General features: G+C 35.0%; 1 protein-coding gene across 24 annotated transcripts in view; it reads right to left on the bottom strand.

Annotated features, from left to right (window-relative positions):
- RALGAPA1 (Ral GTPase activating protein catalytic subunit alpha 1) overlaps positions 1 to 17,635 on the bottom strand; it is a 270,940-nt gene that overhangs the window by 140,876 nt on the left and 112,429 nt on the right. For 14 of the 24 annotated variants that reach the window (XR_007063998.1, XM_047431182.1, XM_006720100.5 and 11 more), the window contains 4 exons: positions 9,228 to 10,772; positions 7,311 to 7,435; positions 5,698 to 5,914; positions 4,578 to 4,754 (listed from right to left, as the gene is read on the bottom strand). Coding sequence is in view for 23 of the 24 variants with exons in the window: in XM_047431182.1 (XP_047287138.1) it covers positions 4,578 to 4,754; positions 5,698 to 5,914; positions 7,311 to 7,435; positions 9,228 to 10,772 (2,064 nt within the window). In the remaining variant the exon portion in view is untranslated. The remainder of the gene's footprint in view (positions 1 to 4,577; positions 4,755 to 5,697; positions 5,915 to 7,310; positions 7,436 to 9,227; positions 10,773 to 17,635) is intronic. The other 10 variants (NM_194301.4, NM_001346246.2, NM_014990.3 and 7 more) reach the window with 3 other exon arrangements.

Here is a 17,635-nt window from a genome sequence, read left to right on the forward strand (position 1 = left end):
GCAGAAAAATATCAATATTCTGAACTCAGTACCTGTAAACCTCTGCCCTCATTACCTCTTTCTACACAGTAAAGCAAAAAACCAATATAAATTAAATACATACAGATGCTCCTTGACTTATGATGGGGTTACACCCCAAGAAACTCACTGTAAATTGAAAATATGGTAAGTCAAAATTGTACCTAATACACCTAATCAACTGAACATCATAGCTTAGCCTAGCCTACCCTAAACATGCTCAGAACACTTAAATTAGCTTACAGTTGGGCAAAATCATCTAATGCAAAGCCTGTTTTGTAATAAAGTATTGACTATCTCATGTAATTTACTGACTACTGTACTGAAAGTGAAAAACAGAATGGTTGTATGAGTATTTGAAGTAAGGTTTCTACTGAATGAGAATTGCTTTCACACCACTGTAAAGTTGAAAAATTGTAAGTTGTTAATTATAGTAAGTCAAGGACGATCTACATTTATATTATTTTAATTCTATAAAAGTGCAATTCCACATATCATACAGGCATTTTTTTTAAGTAGTAGCACAGTAAGTAAGTGCCTAAAAAAGTACATATAGAACTGGATTGTGATATCAGGTGTTATCACAATAATCATATAATCATATGATAATCATATATCAAATGAGTAATCATATGACCCTATCTAGGCTCAATTATGTTACATAGTAGGTGAAAAGTTTCCTTTCCTTTATTTGAGATTTGGAGTAAATTCATATGGCACAAAAATCATATGTTAAAGGACAGTTACAGAAACTTAAGTATTCTATATCTTAGGACAAACACATACTGCTGAAGGCATAATGAAAATTATAACCTTAATGTTTACCAAAAACTTTTAAGTACATGCCAAAGAGACATCAGCCTTTGGTCAAATGCTTTGAAATATAAACCTTTTTATCTCCATGTATTGTTTTGATCCATAAAAATCGAATTCATTTTTAAGAACTAGATTTTATTTTATTATCATTATTTTTTCTGAGATGGAGTCTCGCTCTGTTGCTCAGGGTGGAATGCAGCGGCATGATCGTGGCTCACTGCAACCTCTGCCTCCTGGGTTCAAGCAATTCTCCTGCCTCAGCCTCCCAAGTAGCTGGGATTACAGGTGTCCACCACCATGCCTGGCTAATTTTTTGTATCTTTAGTAGAGAGGGAAGTTTCACTGTGTTGGCCAGGCTGGTCTCGAACTCCTGACCTCAGGTGATTCAACTGCCTCAGCCTCCCAAAGTACTGGGATTACAGGCATGAGCCACCACACCAAGCCAAGAACTAAGATTTTAAATACTTTTATATCAGCTATCACAGAATCACCAGAGAATCACTACTGCCTTTAATTTTATTTATTTATTTATTTATTTATTTATTTTTTGCTTTTTTGTTTTTGTTTGAGACAGAGTCTCGCTTTGTCCCCCAGGCTGGAGTGCAGTGGTGCAATCTCAGCTCACTGCAAGCTCTGCCTCCCGGGTTCACACTATTCTCCTGCCTCAGCCTCCCGAGTAGCTAGGACTACAGGTGCCCACCACCACGCCCGGCTAATTTTTTGTATTTTTAGTAGAGACGGGGTTTCACCGTGTTAGCCAGGATGGTCTCAATCTCCTGACCTCGTGATCCACCCGCCTCGGCCTTCCAAAGTGCTGGGATTACAGGTGTGAGCCACCACGCCCGGCCTATTTTATTTTTAAAAATCTATAATGGCTCACTTACTTAAGAGGCTTTTTCCTCTTGAACGGTTTTTTTAAAGCAATAAAACTATTCCTATAATGATATTCATGACCTAAAAAGAGGTTATCTAATTTTCATTCTTGTTTCCTATACTAGATTTCTTTCGTAGTTTCTGAAAACTTCTATGTTATAGGAAAATAGATGATTTCAGGACTACTAACATCCCTTTCATAAAGTACTATTGCGTTAGTAGTATGATAATGTATGCAAACTTCACTCTTGGAAAATACTGTACTGAATCATTTATACATTGTGTATATGGAGTTTTATCTTTGTTGAATTTTGTGCCTTCTAAACAGAAACAAATACAACTGCCTTAGTTTCTTAAACACCTCTGTGCTGTTACTAATGGTACTGATTAAGATTAGAATGCCTAATAAAACTTCCCAGGAGAGACCTAAAAATAGTCACTACATAGAGTAAATATAGGTTACATAAATATTAAAATTTCTTAGAAGTTAATTATCCAAAAAACATAAAGGCAAAAGACCTAAAACAGGTTCTCCATATACATCATTTTATTTTTAGAACTTTTGTTTGGAACTTTATTTTTGATAACTACAGAGAATTAAGAAATAAAAAATATCTTTTTCTTCTGTATATGGAAATCTTTTGGAAACACAACAGTCTGATTAATAGCTTAAAGTTTTGATAGTATTAAAATTTGTTTTACAGAACATAAAGCCTACATTTTTTTTAAACACACCCACCTTTAAGTATACAGTTATTTGAAAAATGGCAACTGCACATGGTCTTGTAACCAACATCACAAACAAAATATAAAACAGTTCCATCACCATAAAGTTTTCTTATGCCCATCTGTAGTCGATCCCCTCAACTGACACCTATCCTTCCCAAGTAAGTGGTGATTTACTTTGTCACTACAGTTTTTTCTTTTTTAGAATGTTATACACATAGAATAATAACGTATAATTATGGAGTATTTTGTATTTGACTTCTTTCATTTAGCACATTTTCAAGATTCACTTATGTTTTTGCATATATTAATATTTAATTCTGTTTCATTACTGAGTATTATTTCAGTGAATATTCAATAAATGAATATACTACAATTTATTTATCCACTCACCAATTGATGGACATTTGGTTTGTTTTCAATTTTTAACTACTGTGAATAAAGCTGCCATGATCTTTTGCGTACAACTGTCCAAGGAAAATACATACCTAAAAATGGTCACATAATAAACGTATGTTTAACTTTAAAAGTTACTGCCATATTTTCCCAGAGTGACTTGATCAGTTTACATTCTTACTAGCAATGTATGCGATTCTAGTTGCTCCACACTCATTTCAACACTTTGGATTGTCAGTGTGTGGTTTTTTTTTTTTTGAGACGGAGTCTTGCTCTGTTGCCCAGGCTGGAGTGCAGTGGTGTGATCTTGGCTCACTGCAAGCTCTGCCTCCCGGGTTCATGCCATTCTCCTGCCTCAGCCTCCCGAGTAGCTGGGACTATACGCGCCCGCCACCACGCCTGGCTAATTTTTGTTTTTTGTATTTTTAGTAGAGATGGGGTTTCACCCTATTAGCCAGGATGGTCTCGATCTCCTGACCTTGTGATCTGCCCGCCTCGGCTCCCCAAAGTGCTGGGATTACAGGTGTGAGCCACCATGCCCGGCCGTCAGTGTTTTTAACTTGAACAATTTCAGTATGCGTAGTAGGGTCTCATTGTAGTTTTTATTTGCATTCTCTGGTTACTATCAATGTTAAGTATCTTTTCATTTACATTTAAAAACAACTAAAGTAAGAGGTATTCATTATAAAATAAGAATTTTCTCTAGTATTCCACTTTGAGTAATTTAAATCCTATAATGATGGAACTGTAGCTCTAACCCAATTGGTTCCCATTCTCCACTAGGGCCATATTCTGCAATGGGGCTGCTAAAGTTCTTGCCATCTGGGAAAAAAGGAGGCAGGATATGAAAACAGAGAATGGATTTCTAACTTTTAGAATTCCCCTGGCTCAAATTACCTCTGTCTGGGCTGGCTGAGGAAATATGCTTGACTAGTTTAGAGATGCAGAAATCACTGCGCCAGTCTTGCAAGTTCCAGCCAACCACAAGATGCAAAATCACCCCATGGATAATTAAGCTGGAGTGGATAACCACTCATCAAGGGGCAAACTGTAGCCGGAACCACAGTGAGGTTGGATTATAGAGTGGAACCCCCAAGAACTATGGTCTACTAGCTGCTCAGGCTCATTCTAATCACTTCACTAACATTGCAATAATGTGACTCTGCATTTAACATGATTGAAGACTCCACTTATCACATTATGGTTGGGTTTGACTACATGTAAAAAGTTTCCAAAAAGCACAAACTACTATCTAAACACAGAATATTAGTATATTGACAAACAGGCCTTCTATTAAGCAGTGTGCTTTATATTTTCTATAATAAATACTTTGCTAAAGAAATCATAAAAATCTAGGCTAACTCTGAATGACAAAGACAGTCCACTACTTTTAACTTTTTTATTTATTTTAAAAATCACTCCAACTATCTCATGTACTCCATATACATATACATCTATTATGTTCCCATTAAAATTTTTTTTTAATCCTGCAGAAAATGTTCTAGTGCATATATATACAAAATATTGCATAAAATACTACAAGTTCACAGAGTCCTCTGAAGCTTAACCCAGTGGACCTCAGGTCAAGAAACTAATGTCTTTTCTCCCCTTCATTGTTACATAAAGATGAATGAAAAAATATACTTAAATAGTAATAAGTAATACTTAAAATCTCTCAAAATTTTAATCAAATTCTTTGAAGGCTTAAAAAATACATTTAAGAAACACATTCCCATGAATAACTTTACCAGTAATAGTTGCAACTTCAGCAGAGAAAGCTTGCTGATTAAGACTGCTTGTTTCAGAATCTATATGAAGAGTAGTTAGACTAGCCACTTCCTGCTCTTCAGCACTCTGATGATGGCCAGAACCTGAATCCACATCAGCAGAGGACGTAACCCCAGTGTCGGTTCCAAAGCCAAAATCTATAGGAAGAAGAAATGTTATTATATGAGTCCCAATTACAAAGTAAAAATATTTACGAGAGCTAAATCAGCAAAATGATCAAACATAAACATTCCCCGTACATCTATTCTGTTTACATATCACTCAGACAAGTGTAAATAATCTTAATACTCTGAAGATTATAAGTAGATCGGGATAGTGTACAAGCCATGAAGGGAGGAAACATGTAATTCTCCAATGCATATCCCAGCTCTTCACAAACTTAGTTCCCAAGGTTTTGACTTCTTTTTTAAAAATTTGGTGCCCTTCACTGACTGCCAAGTGCAATATAGAATTATAGCTGAATAACTAAGTGGTAATAATATAGCACCAAATAATATTACTGATGTTATTGTAACAAGGGGCAATTATTCAAAGGAAGTTCTGGGTACTGTAGCATTGAACATAATCCAAATATTTGGTTCTCAAATATGAGTGTGTGAAACAGTGGCAACTCATAATCATGACTGGCTTTTTAGTAACAGGTCTATCCTAAATTATTTTCCTTTCTACAGTTTTGGTCTTAAAAATGTCATTTCTTTTAAGAAGGGATCACATTTTTTGTTTTTTAAATGCTCTTAATTTGGCAACATAAAGTAGCTTCAACTTAAGGTGATTCCCTAAAACTTCCTTTGAAATTTCACTGAAAATTGAAATAAAAATAAGTGGGGCCAAGAATGATGCCTTGCACCTGTAATCCCAGCTACTCGGAAGGCTGACGCAGGAGGACTGCTTCAGGCCAGGAGTTCAAGACTAGCCCAGACAACATAGCAAGACCAAATATCTAATTTTTTTTTTTCTAACGTGGGAGCCACTGCCTAAGTAACACTGGAGAGGAAGGTGATGGCTACATAATCCGTAAGTCAGTCTTGAACAGAAGACAATCAACATAAAACATAGTATTCAAATAGAAAAGATACTTGCTGTCAAATTTTCGGCCATCATATTGGAAAGCGCTGAAAGAATCCGAATGACTATCTGAGCTGATAAGATCACTGCTCCCTGCACTGGCAGGAGAAGTCCATTCTGAGGGCACACCTGGGTCATCAATAGGGCGCATCTGGTTCTGCTTGTTTAGAATATCAGGGAGGTCTTTGGGAATTTCCAGGCTGCCTGGACTACTTCCTCTTCTTGTCATAGTCTAAACGTTCAAGAAATATTTTACCATTAAGAAAAAGCTTTTATTCTCTTTAACCATCTGAAACCTTTAATTTCCAAACCATCACAATAAATGCTGAGATTTAGAGGCTGAAGTAGGAGTGGAGAACACACTCACCAAACAATCTATGTAACTGAATGGAGCTAGAGCCTGACCTATTGTTGGTCTGCCTAAAGACCCAAATATCACATGATGCTGGGCCTGTGACTCTTAAGCCTCAGCAGGATCCATGCAGTGAATATAAATTAAAACAGCAGAAAGAGTATTTAGTGGAAAAAAAGCAGCAAATAAAAAAGACAGTGGAAGAGTGGAAAGAATGACAGCAAAGATGTCATTCAATGATTTTTATCCACTCAAGGGAAAAAAGTAAGCCTAAAAAGAAAGGGGCGGGGTATATAATGGAGTTATAGAGAAGTCAAACCCAAATGAAATATGACAGTTTAAAAAAAGCAATTCCAGGTCCAGCACAGTGGCTCACTCTGGTAATCCCAGCACTTTGGGAGGCTGAGGTGGGCAGATCACCTGAGGTCAGGAGTTCGAGACCAGTCTGGCCAACATGGTGAAACCCTGTCTCTACTAAAAATAGAACAATTATCCAGGCATGGTGGTGTGCACCTGTAATCCTAGCTACTCAGGGGGCTCAGGCAGGAGGATTGCTGGAACCCGGGAGACGGAGGCTGCAGTGAGCACTGCACTCCACCCTGGGCGACAAAGCGACACTCTGTCTCAAAAGAAACTAGTTCCATATATATTTATCCTTCCCTAACAATTAAGCATTATTAGGGATAAAAGAGCTTCTGCTTTCATGTTGCCATACTCCTAACATTCAAGATAAAGATAACTTTTAAGTCTCTTCCAAAGTTATCTAAAATGGTTAAGCAGTATTTGTGCTAGCAAAACTATGGGAGCTGGTTCACAAGCAGATCTTGAGACAAAAATAAAAATTATATATGTATTTTTATTTTAAATTATATATTAGATTATATTTATTTATTTATATAACTACGGGAGCTGGGGCAGAAGACCTCCATTGCTATCTTTCCCATTGAGGGCTTGCAGCTGGCACCAGGGTAACCTACGAGCAAAGACAAAAAAAGGGGAGACTAGGAAGGTAGTTGCTTATACCTGTGTATTTGTGCACAGGTACCTGTCTGATCTTTCACCCTGGTGAAAATTATGAGGCTGTTTATGTCTTTAGATAAAAAATGTTATAAAAATGTAATTCAAAAATCTTAATTCATAAAAAGGGTTATATTTTGAGGAAAGGTTATTTTGAATAAAAATTCCCATATATAAATTGACATATATGTACATAGGTATATATCTGTTAGTTTTTCTACCCTCCTCTATAAAACCAAATATATAAAATAAAACTTACCGAGGCATTACCACTTCGAAGTCGTTCTGCTATAAACTCATCCATCAGATCAGGAACATTAGCACTGCTGCCGCCAATATCACTATTAAGAGGAGGCAGTTTTTGGCTCATGTCCTCTTTATTGACTAAAAATAAATAAATAACTATATATAGTGAGGAAAAACTTAACTGCATTTTCTAACTTTGAAACAAACAACAACCCAAAACAAAGTACCTTTGCCAATTATTTGCCAAACATGCATTTATGAATAATTTCCCTTCTTTCAGATTTAATTTTAAGAATTAGTAAATTGATATTTACTTTATTTAACTAAGCAGATGTTAGTCAATCTTCAGTGTAACTTTAAACAGCAAGAAAGCTTATAGATAAGCACTAGCTGAAGTTAGGTTAATATTGCCTATAAAGAAACTGGTATATTTATCTTTTTTCCTGACTCAATGTTTCTTTTTAGAGCCTTAACAATTTATAATTCCGTATTTCCCCCAAAGAACGTTTGCAGGGAATACATCCTTTGAATCTATGCAAAACTCAGTGGGATACAAATGCATTTGAGTATTTATAAATACAAATTCTATGGTTTTGATATACTGCTGTTTCTATCCACTATAAAATCTAATTTTAATGCTTTAAGAATAAAAAGTTGACTTCCACAAATGTTTTTCTTACCAAAAAAACCCAAAATAGTTATTTTGATTTTTTTATCACTACATTATTATTATTTTTACCATTTACATTAACAAGAAAGTTTTAGACTTGGGAAACTAACTTATAGAAAATAATATGGTATCTATGTCACTACTATGCTATTGAAAAGTTGATTTCTCTGCAATGAAAGGAAAATGAGCACTGTTTATATTCCTAATAAACTACAAAGTATTTCAGATTAAAAAAACACACTGGTCAGAAGCTCACTGTGAAATACCATTATCTTTATATTACTGGCCAGGCTTTGCTAAGCTGTCAAATACTGCCCTCAGGTGGCATTAATGGCTCAATGCAAGATGCATTATACAGCGTTGTTAATCATGCTAACAAAACCATGTTAAAACAAATAAAATCAAAACCAACCTTACTGCTGAAAGTTAATAGTCTATATATGTAAAGTTATTTTAACTTTGACTCAAGATAGAGAAAACAGTTACCATAATCTTGCTTTCTGTTATCTGTCCATAGAGGTTCCATATTTAAATCATGAGTGGCTACTGTGAAACCTTTATGCACATTTAAAATCTCAGAAAAAAACAAAGTAATTAAAGTGTTTCAAGGACATAACTTGCATTCTATATAAATGAATGCAAAACTAAAAGCCTACAGCATGTTTGGAAATGGCTTAAATGAAAAGTGATTAAATTCACTTTGAGATTTAAGAAATAATTTCCTCATCACTGATAGTTAACTATAATGTTGGTGCTGGCTGTAGGACCTTGATTTCTATTATGTTAGTTGTCAAAATAATTTCTATCAAGAAAAAATACAAAACCAAATAGATCAGCAGTAAAAATAAGTGAAATCAGTTAGATATATCTGGTGCCCTTTTAAACTATAGTGGGGTGGGGAAGAAAGCATAGTAACTCCTTGATAATCTTAATTTCCATACTTGTGGTATACACTCAGAAAAATACTTGATTTAGGTAGTCTTTGATAGGTTATTGAAATTTTCCTATATATCCACTTTCCTATGTTGTTGTTCAGCAGCAAAGAGGTTTAACTAAATGCCTTATAAGGGAAATTAGTAATTTAAATAAACATTCTATGCTGGGAAAAATACAGCTGGGAAAAGGCGCATGCATAACCAAACAGAGAGAAAGCAGTGACCATCCCAAAGCTTTTTGATTGCTTATAGCTTGCTTCAGTTGCATTAAGCCAAACTGGTGCTGTCTTTCTCCTTTTGCGCTCTGCACACTGTTAGTGCTCACCTGCAGCTTTCCTTCCAAAATAGCCCATTACATGACTGTACAGATCCCTCAGTGGAGCCTCTGGTGGCATTCTGTTCTGCCTCTGTGGGGAAACATTTGCCTTCGGCTTCGAAAGAGCATGTACAACAGTTTTATAAACGCCACCCAGGGAGCCCTGCTGTAGTCCTGCCTCATGACTTGATGACCTAAGAGTACTACGACTACCTAATTGACTACTTGCAATTCCTTCTTTTTGTAATATGGTGGTGGGAATCTCTGTGGATTCCTTCACTGTTTTGCTGCTTACTGATGCAGTACCAAGTGTATCTAGAGGTCTGTACACACCAGGTTTTACTAGCTCTGTAGCACTATTTGTGCTGGTATGGGTGTTGCTAGTGCTGCTATTGCTGCTACCACTACTAAAGCCACCGAGCTTCCGCAGTCTCATCTTCCATGGAGCCTCTTTGTTTTCCAGAGGATTATAAAACTGAACGGACTCAGTGGATGGCCTAAAAGTAACATGAACACTATTTCGTTTTTTAGTAGCAATTTTCATGATTTTGGCTCTATGAGTTACTGTTTCAGACAAGCTCCTTTTAGTTGGAGAAAGTTTGCTAGTACTTGTAACATGAGGCATTCTGCGGTTAACAGGTGCTTTTAGTGTTGCTTTCTTGGCACGCATAACATGTGGGACAGTGATTTTTTCATTAATTTGCACACTCTTAAGCTTTTCAACTAGTGTTACATCAACACAAGCATCTAATTCTGTGGCTGCTTGTCTGTACAGATGTTTCCTTTTTTCTTTATCACAAGGGCTATCTAAACTAGGCTCTGATGGCTGTTTATCAGTGTTTAGTTGCTTAGATTTTTCAGAAGTTTGTGTTCTAAAAAAACTGTCTGACTGGTTAGGTGCGATATTACTCATGAAGACAGCTGAGTTTGGTTCTTTCTGAAACTGTAGGTTTTCAGGAGTCCCAACAAAAGAGGTGATATTTTCTGATTCAGTTTCCTGATCTGTGCATTCTAATTTATCTAAGGATAATCTTTCACCCCTATTTACTGCAATAGTCACTTCCTGAGAAGCTGGGTCTTTCCCTGTCTCATTTTTACTATGATTTTCCTGGTTTTCCTTAAAATATTCTTTCAGGGTGGAAAGAAGATCATCATCTCCTTCAAGGTCAATGTACTGGATTTGTTCAAAAGCTGAATCTGCAAGTTCTACTGGACCTATTAAATGACAAAGATGGTCATATATGCTATCACCAACTTCCAGAGAAGACTCTCTACTATGAGTATCAGTGATGTGGCTTTCAGTGGATCTAGTTATTGAAGAAGCCTCTGTGGAACTCTGCAAGCTTGGTGCATGACGGGATGAACTGTCAATGACAGGAACTGCACCTTTGGCTCGTTCAACAGTGAATGGTTCCAAGATGTCAGAAGTGCTGCTACTTCGAGGCAATGGCTGCTCCTCATTCAAAGCACCAAAAACTTCATTTCCAGTTTCTTCACTTTGTGAAAAATGTCTGACTCTAGTTGAGCGGGGAAGTATTTGAGCATCATCAATATCTGTAAAAGAAAAAAAAATTATGTAGAGAAGAACTACACAAATATAAAAAATAATTATTAATTTCAATAATGCTCTAAAGCATATGCTTTAAAAAAAATCTGAGTTTTTGTAAGCTCAATGAAAAAAAAATCAAAATACAAATCTGCTTTTTTAAAAAAATGATGGGCACAAGCCAATATAGCATGTAGTGTCAATGAATTAGAAAACTACCAAAACACATTTTAAAATGTTAACATGCATAGAAACAGACAGTGAGGTGATGAAACATTTGGAAGTGCAGATAAAGATAGAGCTGTGCCAATAAATCAAGCAACTCAAATGCTATTAAATTTTTCCTACTTATTTACGTTCCAAGCAGAAAAAATACACCTTAACACAGAAAGCCGATCCAAGTATCCCACTGTAGACTCTTATAGGGTCTAATAAATTCTCCAGCTTCCTTCCCAAAAAGGCAAGAGGCATCTTTTCTTCAAATTTTGCTTCTCTGTTTGATTACATATTAGAAATGAAAGTCTCTACCCTCTTCCTAAATTTCTCTTTGTCAGGAAACTGTTCTCCCCAGGTGTTTTACTTTATTACGTATTAAAATCTTATTCACTGACATCAAATAAAGTCAATATATTTTTTAAAAAATCAATTGTATTCTTTTGTTTTTGGCAAAAACACCACTTAAATCTGCTAGGAAGAAACTTTACCTGCCTGTTATTGGCCCTTTCCATTAAACAGCCATCAAGCTCTAAAAACTATATTTCTGGCTTCTTACATCTCTTTTTAAGAATTATAGGCTGGGCGCGGTGGCTCACACCTATAATCCCAGCACTCTGGGAGGCTGAGGTGGGCAGATCACCTGAGGTCGGGAGTTCAAGACCAGCCTGACCAACATGGAGAAACCCCATCTCTATTAAAAACACAAAACTAGCCGGGCGTGGTGGTGCATGCCTGTAATTCCAGCTACTTGGGAGGCTGAGGCAGGAGAACTGCTTGAACCCATGAGGCAGAGGCTGCGGTGAGCCGAAATAATGCCACTGCACTCCAGCCTGGGCAACAAGAGCAAAACTCCGTCTCAAATAATAATAATAATAATAATTATTATTATTATTATAGATGGACATTCAGAGATTATCTAATTTAACTATCTCACAGATGAGAAAATTGAAGCCCAGAGAGGTTAAGTTACTTTATCAAATTTACAATAAAAAAGTTTGAGAAACAGGCTTAGTGTTGCATATCACTGCATTATTTTCACTGCCTTCAGTGTCAGGATGAAATAACCATTTAACTGTTCAGATATATACAAATTCTCAACAGGAATTGTGGAAGCAAAATACAATGTCTATGAATCCATCATGGTCTGTAAGTTACCTAGAAATAACAAAAAAAAATTGTTTTCAGAAGTCAGCAAAATATAATGAAGAAAGGACAGAGTCAAAAAGTCAGCTGTTGCTACTTATTAGGCTTCTTGCACAAAAGTTAAATGCAACAGAACTATAACTGAACAATCAAAATGAGAAAATTTAGATCCAGAAGCAAAGCAGTGACTTGTCCAAGATTACAAAATAATTTGTTGATTCTTACTCTAGATTTTGAGACTAGTTTCCTCATTTATAAAATGGAGATAGTCATTCAAAGTATTTTTGGGATCCATGCTACTATGGCTGAAAAAAGGCTAGTCCCTCTGCAATTTCATTCATATCACCCTATTTGTATGAGGTCCAAATGGACCTACTTTATACTAAATTGAGATCAACATAGGTTTGTATTATGCCAAGATTCTAGTATATTCCTAGTGATATACTAGTAGGCTCTCAACATAGGTTAAATATATAGTATCTCCTGAAGCTGAAACAATTAACTTTTTGTCCTTAAACTGAGGGGAATGTGCAACTTTAAAAAATGACATTGTTTTTCTTCCTCATGCACTCCACTGAGAAATTTTTCTAAGTGAAAAGCGAAACATTTCCTTACAAACTTCACTTTGATGCACTTATACTCATTAAGCGTTTGTTAATACAGCAGATAACTAACTCATATCTGTGCATCTTGACAAACATAAATATTTCGGTTTTTTACATCTGCCATAAGAGATCATAAGAACTTCTGCCTCAATGACAGAGATTATATTCAGCATGCACTCTAAATTTCTTTCCACACAATATTCTAAAGAACTCAGCAAAGGATAAAGACTGTATAGCTGTTCTATAAGAATTCTTACGAATTTTATAGCTTGGAATTTATTTTACCAAAGGTCAAAATCAAGATTTCAAAACATTAAAATCATAAAAACATTATGACACTAGCAAATGTACAAATGTCAGAAAAAAATAAAATATTAGTTTTAATTTTTAATTTCTTTTATAGATATTTCACAATTTTTCCATTCTAAAGAAGCCAGGAAAGATTATTATGATGTTCTGTGTTTAGGAATTCCTTCCCAAACTCAGCCCTCACTCCTTGTATATTAGAAAACGTAACCATTATTTCAGCCTATGTTTTTTTTTTTTCCTAAAACTTGTTACCATATATGACTATCTAAAACTTCTGTGCAAGCTTAAGAGGGAAAGAGCTTTAAAAAAAAAAAATGTAACTGGTTTTTTTCTACCAATATTGTAGTACCGGAGAATTTAAATTTAAACAATGTTTTTAAAAATTCTTAAGATTTAAATATAGTTCTTTCATGGCACATAATAATACTAACTACATAAAATCAAAGAAGAAAATAACACTGACAGGAAACCAACTTTATGCTAAATTCAGATCAAGAGGGCTGAATTATGTCAATACAAATGGCACTTGAATTGAGCATAATTGACTCTAATAAGCCTTACATTAGTTGAGCAAATATATACAGCTGAACTTTACTGAGAAAAAGACTAAATAATAACTAAACTATATATAGTATTTTCCACATGCCAGGTATTGTTGTAAGCATCTGACATATCATTCATTTAATCCTCACAACAACCCCATGAAGTAGGTGCTATGCCTATTTTATAAATGAAGAAACTCTTTAAGTGACTTGTCCAAAATTACACAACTACAAAGTGAGGAGTTGTGGTGTCAAGTAAGGCAGAAATTAATCTTTACTCTTAATCTCTTGAATAATACATCATATATGTTTTGTACTCATGAAATAATTTATTAATTTTTAAATAAAACTTGGTAAAAATTAATTGTATTATTAAAAAACCATAAAGCCAGGCTTTAGTTATATCTCAATATAAACAAAAAAGAATTTTAAAAAAACCACAGAGCAGCATAGTGATTTATCTCTATAAAGATAAGAATGTTAGAAATAAAAATCTAACTAAAACAAATGTTAGTAAATTATACAGAAGGAACCAATAAAAAAACTTTGAATTGCTAAAAATAATGGTGGCATCAGGTTTAAATAAAAATGCCCTCAAAACAATTTAATTATGCTTCTTATATTTTAACTTAAAAAATGAAAGCTTTTAAATAAAATTTTATATATTTTTCTCTTTCTTTTCTTTTTCTTAAGGGAAACCAACTGTGTCCTCTTACTCTCCCAGAGGAAGAGAAGAACGATCACCCATGTTCAGAGAAACTCCTCTACTAACATACCTTAGAAATTATGCTTGAAAGTATAGTCTTTTCAATTAAATGTTAATCTAAAGCATTAGAAACCACTTAATGAGTGAAACAATAAAAACGTTGTTTTCAAGAGATTTACACAAACTGCTTTTGAACATTGAGAAAATGCTTTGGTAAAATAAATTTAAATTTAGAGTTTAAAAACTCTATAAAGTTACAGAAATGTCAAGTTTTATCTCTGGGTTTCCTTAATACTGTTTAGCATTAAAATGGGTCAATTATTTCTAGATTAAAAAACCGGTTTTTTCCCGGAAATATTTTGTTCAAAAAGTTTCCTGTGTTAGTTTGAAAGGAAAGCTGTACATTAAAGTATACTGTCAGCTTATAAAATGTTAAGAAAAAAGTACTCCTTTCCACTAGATTTAAGTCTCTTGAGGATTTTTGTTTTGTTCATTGCAATATCTCTATTGATTGAAAGAGGACCTGTCACATAAGTATGGGCTTAATAAATACTGGTAGAAGAAAAGCTCGCCTTAAAAAAAAAAAGTAGCTGCTTATTGGTAAAAAGCAAGTTAGTTACTCACAAACTCTTCAGTTAAAATACTAACATATCACTAGAAATTTTAATAATTTCTGAAATGAATCATAGAATCAAGGGCCAAAATCCCCTTTACTAAAGTTAAATTATTTTACTGGTCAAGCACGAACGTTAGCTATCAGTAATATTTTTATGGTCCCTAAATTCATAATATCATTTAAACTAGTTTACATAGAAATTGATGCCATTTTGAAACTCAGTTTTTTTCTGCTAATTACCTAAGTTTTTGTCTATTTGGGCAACAACGGCAATGTACTTCAAGGTAAGTAAAAACGATAGAGCATCTATGTTTCAAATATTATTAACAGAGGCTATTAAAATTCTATCTTTTTAAGATTAGATGTTCAATTTGCAGGTAATTCAAAGCAGTTTTTACATTATTGTAATCATATGAAAAGACTTAAAAGCAACAAATCAAGCTCAATAGTTTTCATTTAAACCACTAAAATTTAGCCCAGTCGACTATCTTCTCTTTTATTCTAATATTGTTTTCCTGATTTTAAAATTTTGAACATAAACTACCAATACATTTTTTATGTTAAGAAAAGTATAGTGTTTTGCTTATGATTATGCTATATAATGTCATGTTTAAGTTAGCTTCACATTTTTCTTGAGATGTTCTTTTTAAAAAATTAATGCAGGCCAGGCGCAATGGCTCACACTTATAATTCCAGCACTTTGGGAGGCCCAGGTGGGTGGACCACCTGAGGTCAAGAGTTCGAGATCAGCCTGGCCAACATGGTGAAACCCCATCTCTACCAAAAATTAAAAAAAAATTAGCTAGGCATGGTGGCGGACTTCTGTAGTCCCAGCTACTCGGGAGGCTGAGGCACAAGAATTGCTTGAACCCAGGAAGTGGAGGTTGCAGTGAGCCAAGATTGCACCGCTGCATTCTAGGCTGGGCGACACAGCAAGACTGTGTCTCAAAAAAATTAACGTAAATTATTCCAGGAAAAAAAAATTAATTTGCCAGGAGGCTGAGGTGGGAGGAATGCTGGAGCCCAGGAGTTCCAGGCTGCAGTAAGCTAGGATGGCACCACAGCAATCAAGCCTGGGCAACACAATGAGACCCTATCTCTTAAAAAAAAAAAATCTAATTGGAATTATGCTATAATCAGCAGATTACAAGTGGAAAATATGTAAAATATTAATATCCTATTCTACACTGATGACAGGAAAAAATTCTTGATTGTATAAAGAAGGGCCTACTTCTTTGATGAGATGAAAAATTCTCCTTATTGGGCAGAATTTAGGAAAAGGATAGGCCTGTGAGACATACTATTTTATTTTTCATTGACAGTCACAAAACAGAAGTATAAAGAGCTCAATTCAAATAATAACATATCGTTAATAAAAAGAGATCAGTCCCCAACATTAGCAGTCTACATACTATAGCCTAGATAGACCAGAGTCCAATAGCAACAAAAATGACAAATCAGTTTTGGGAACTGGTTGAAAGAAACTGGGTCTGTAAGCTTAATTTCAGGATGAGAAACTCATAGTACTTGATTAGAAAATACTAAATAAGAAACATTTGTGGAAGTATACACAAAGCTGCCTACCATGTTTATATACTTTTATATTCCTTTTTTCACTAAAGTGTTACTTTTGGCAGTAAAAGTAATTTGCTTAAGAACGATGATTCAGATTTCTGGCTTCTCTCTTATCTGTTTATCAGGAAAATAATGACTGTCAGGCTGGGTTACCAAATGTCTACAATCTAGTGCAGTAATGATAAGTAATTATCAAAGGCCAATGAGAGAGAAGCCAAGGAGTGTACTTGCCCAGACACCAGAATAAATTATATTAGATGTTTGTGCAAGCCAACATATTGTATCAAATTTGATACATATTTTTCAAACTGTTATAGATGAGTCTGATGTTAAGAAACAGTGCATTGACATAGTGCTAATGCCCACAAACTGGTCCCCAGAGCTTAAGAAAAACTCTTTAAGGGCTGGGTGTGGTGGCTCACGCCTGTAATCCCAGCATTTTGGGAGGCCAAGGTGTGGAGGATCACTTGAGCCCAGGAGTTTAAGACCAGCCTGGGCAACTTTATGTTCAGAATTTCCCTGGGCAACAACCCTGTCTCTACAAAAAAATAAAAAAATTAGCCGGATGTGGTGGCACGTGCCTATGATCCCAGCTACATGGGAGGCTGAGGCAGGGAAGTCAAGGCTGCAGTGAGTCATGTTTGCACCACTGCACTCCAGCCTAGGCAACAGAGCAAATTAAAAAAAAAATTTTTTTTTTTAACTCTTCAAGAATACTCAACTATTCAACTAGGTTAGTCTATAGCTGTATATAAAGCTATATCATATAGCATCATACTTACAACAATGCAGGTAGTATGGACAGTTAGAACAAGAACACTGGAGGAGGAAAAATGGGCTGGGAACAAATAAGGTACTTAGAAAACTGATGGTCCTTTCTCATAGATTTTGGTACGTTAAAAAAAAAAAAGGATTTAAAGGACTTCCCTTTACCTCCCCAATTATCCAAAAGTATCAGATAAATATTTTTCTAACAAATTCTACTTCTAACCATAAACTAGAGGTAGATTGTCTATGAGTCGTTTCATTGAGGTTTTTTTTTGGTGAAGTAGTTGAAGAAACCTCATTTCCTGATTTCAGAGATAGACTCAGGAAATATTTTATGAGTTCGTTTAAGCTAATTCACATGAGGGAGAGCTACAAAAGCATGAAAAACCAT

Source organism: Homo sapiens, chromosome 14 (assembly GCF_000001405.40).
Source record: "Homo sapiens chromosome 14, GRCh38.p14 Primary Assembly".
Lineage (NCBI taxonomy): Eukaryota > Metazoa > Chordata > Mammalia > Primates > Hominidae > Homo > Homo sapiens.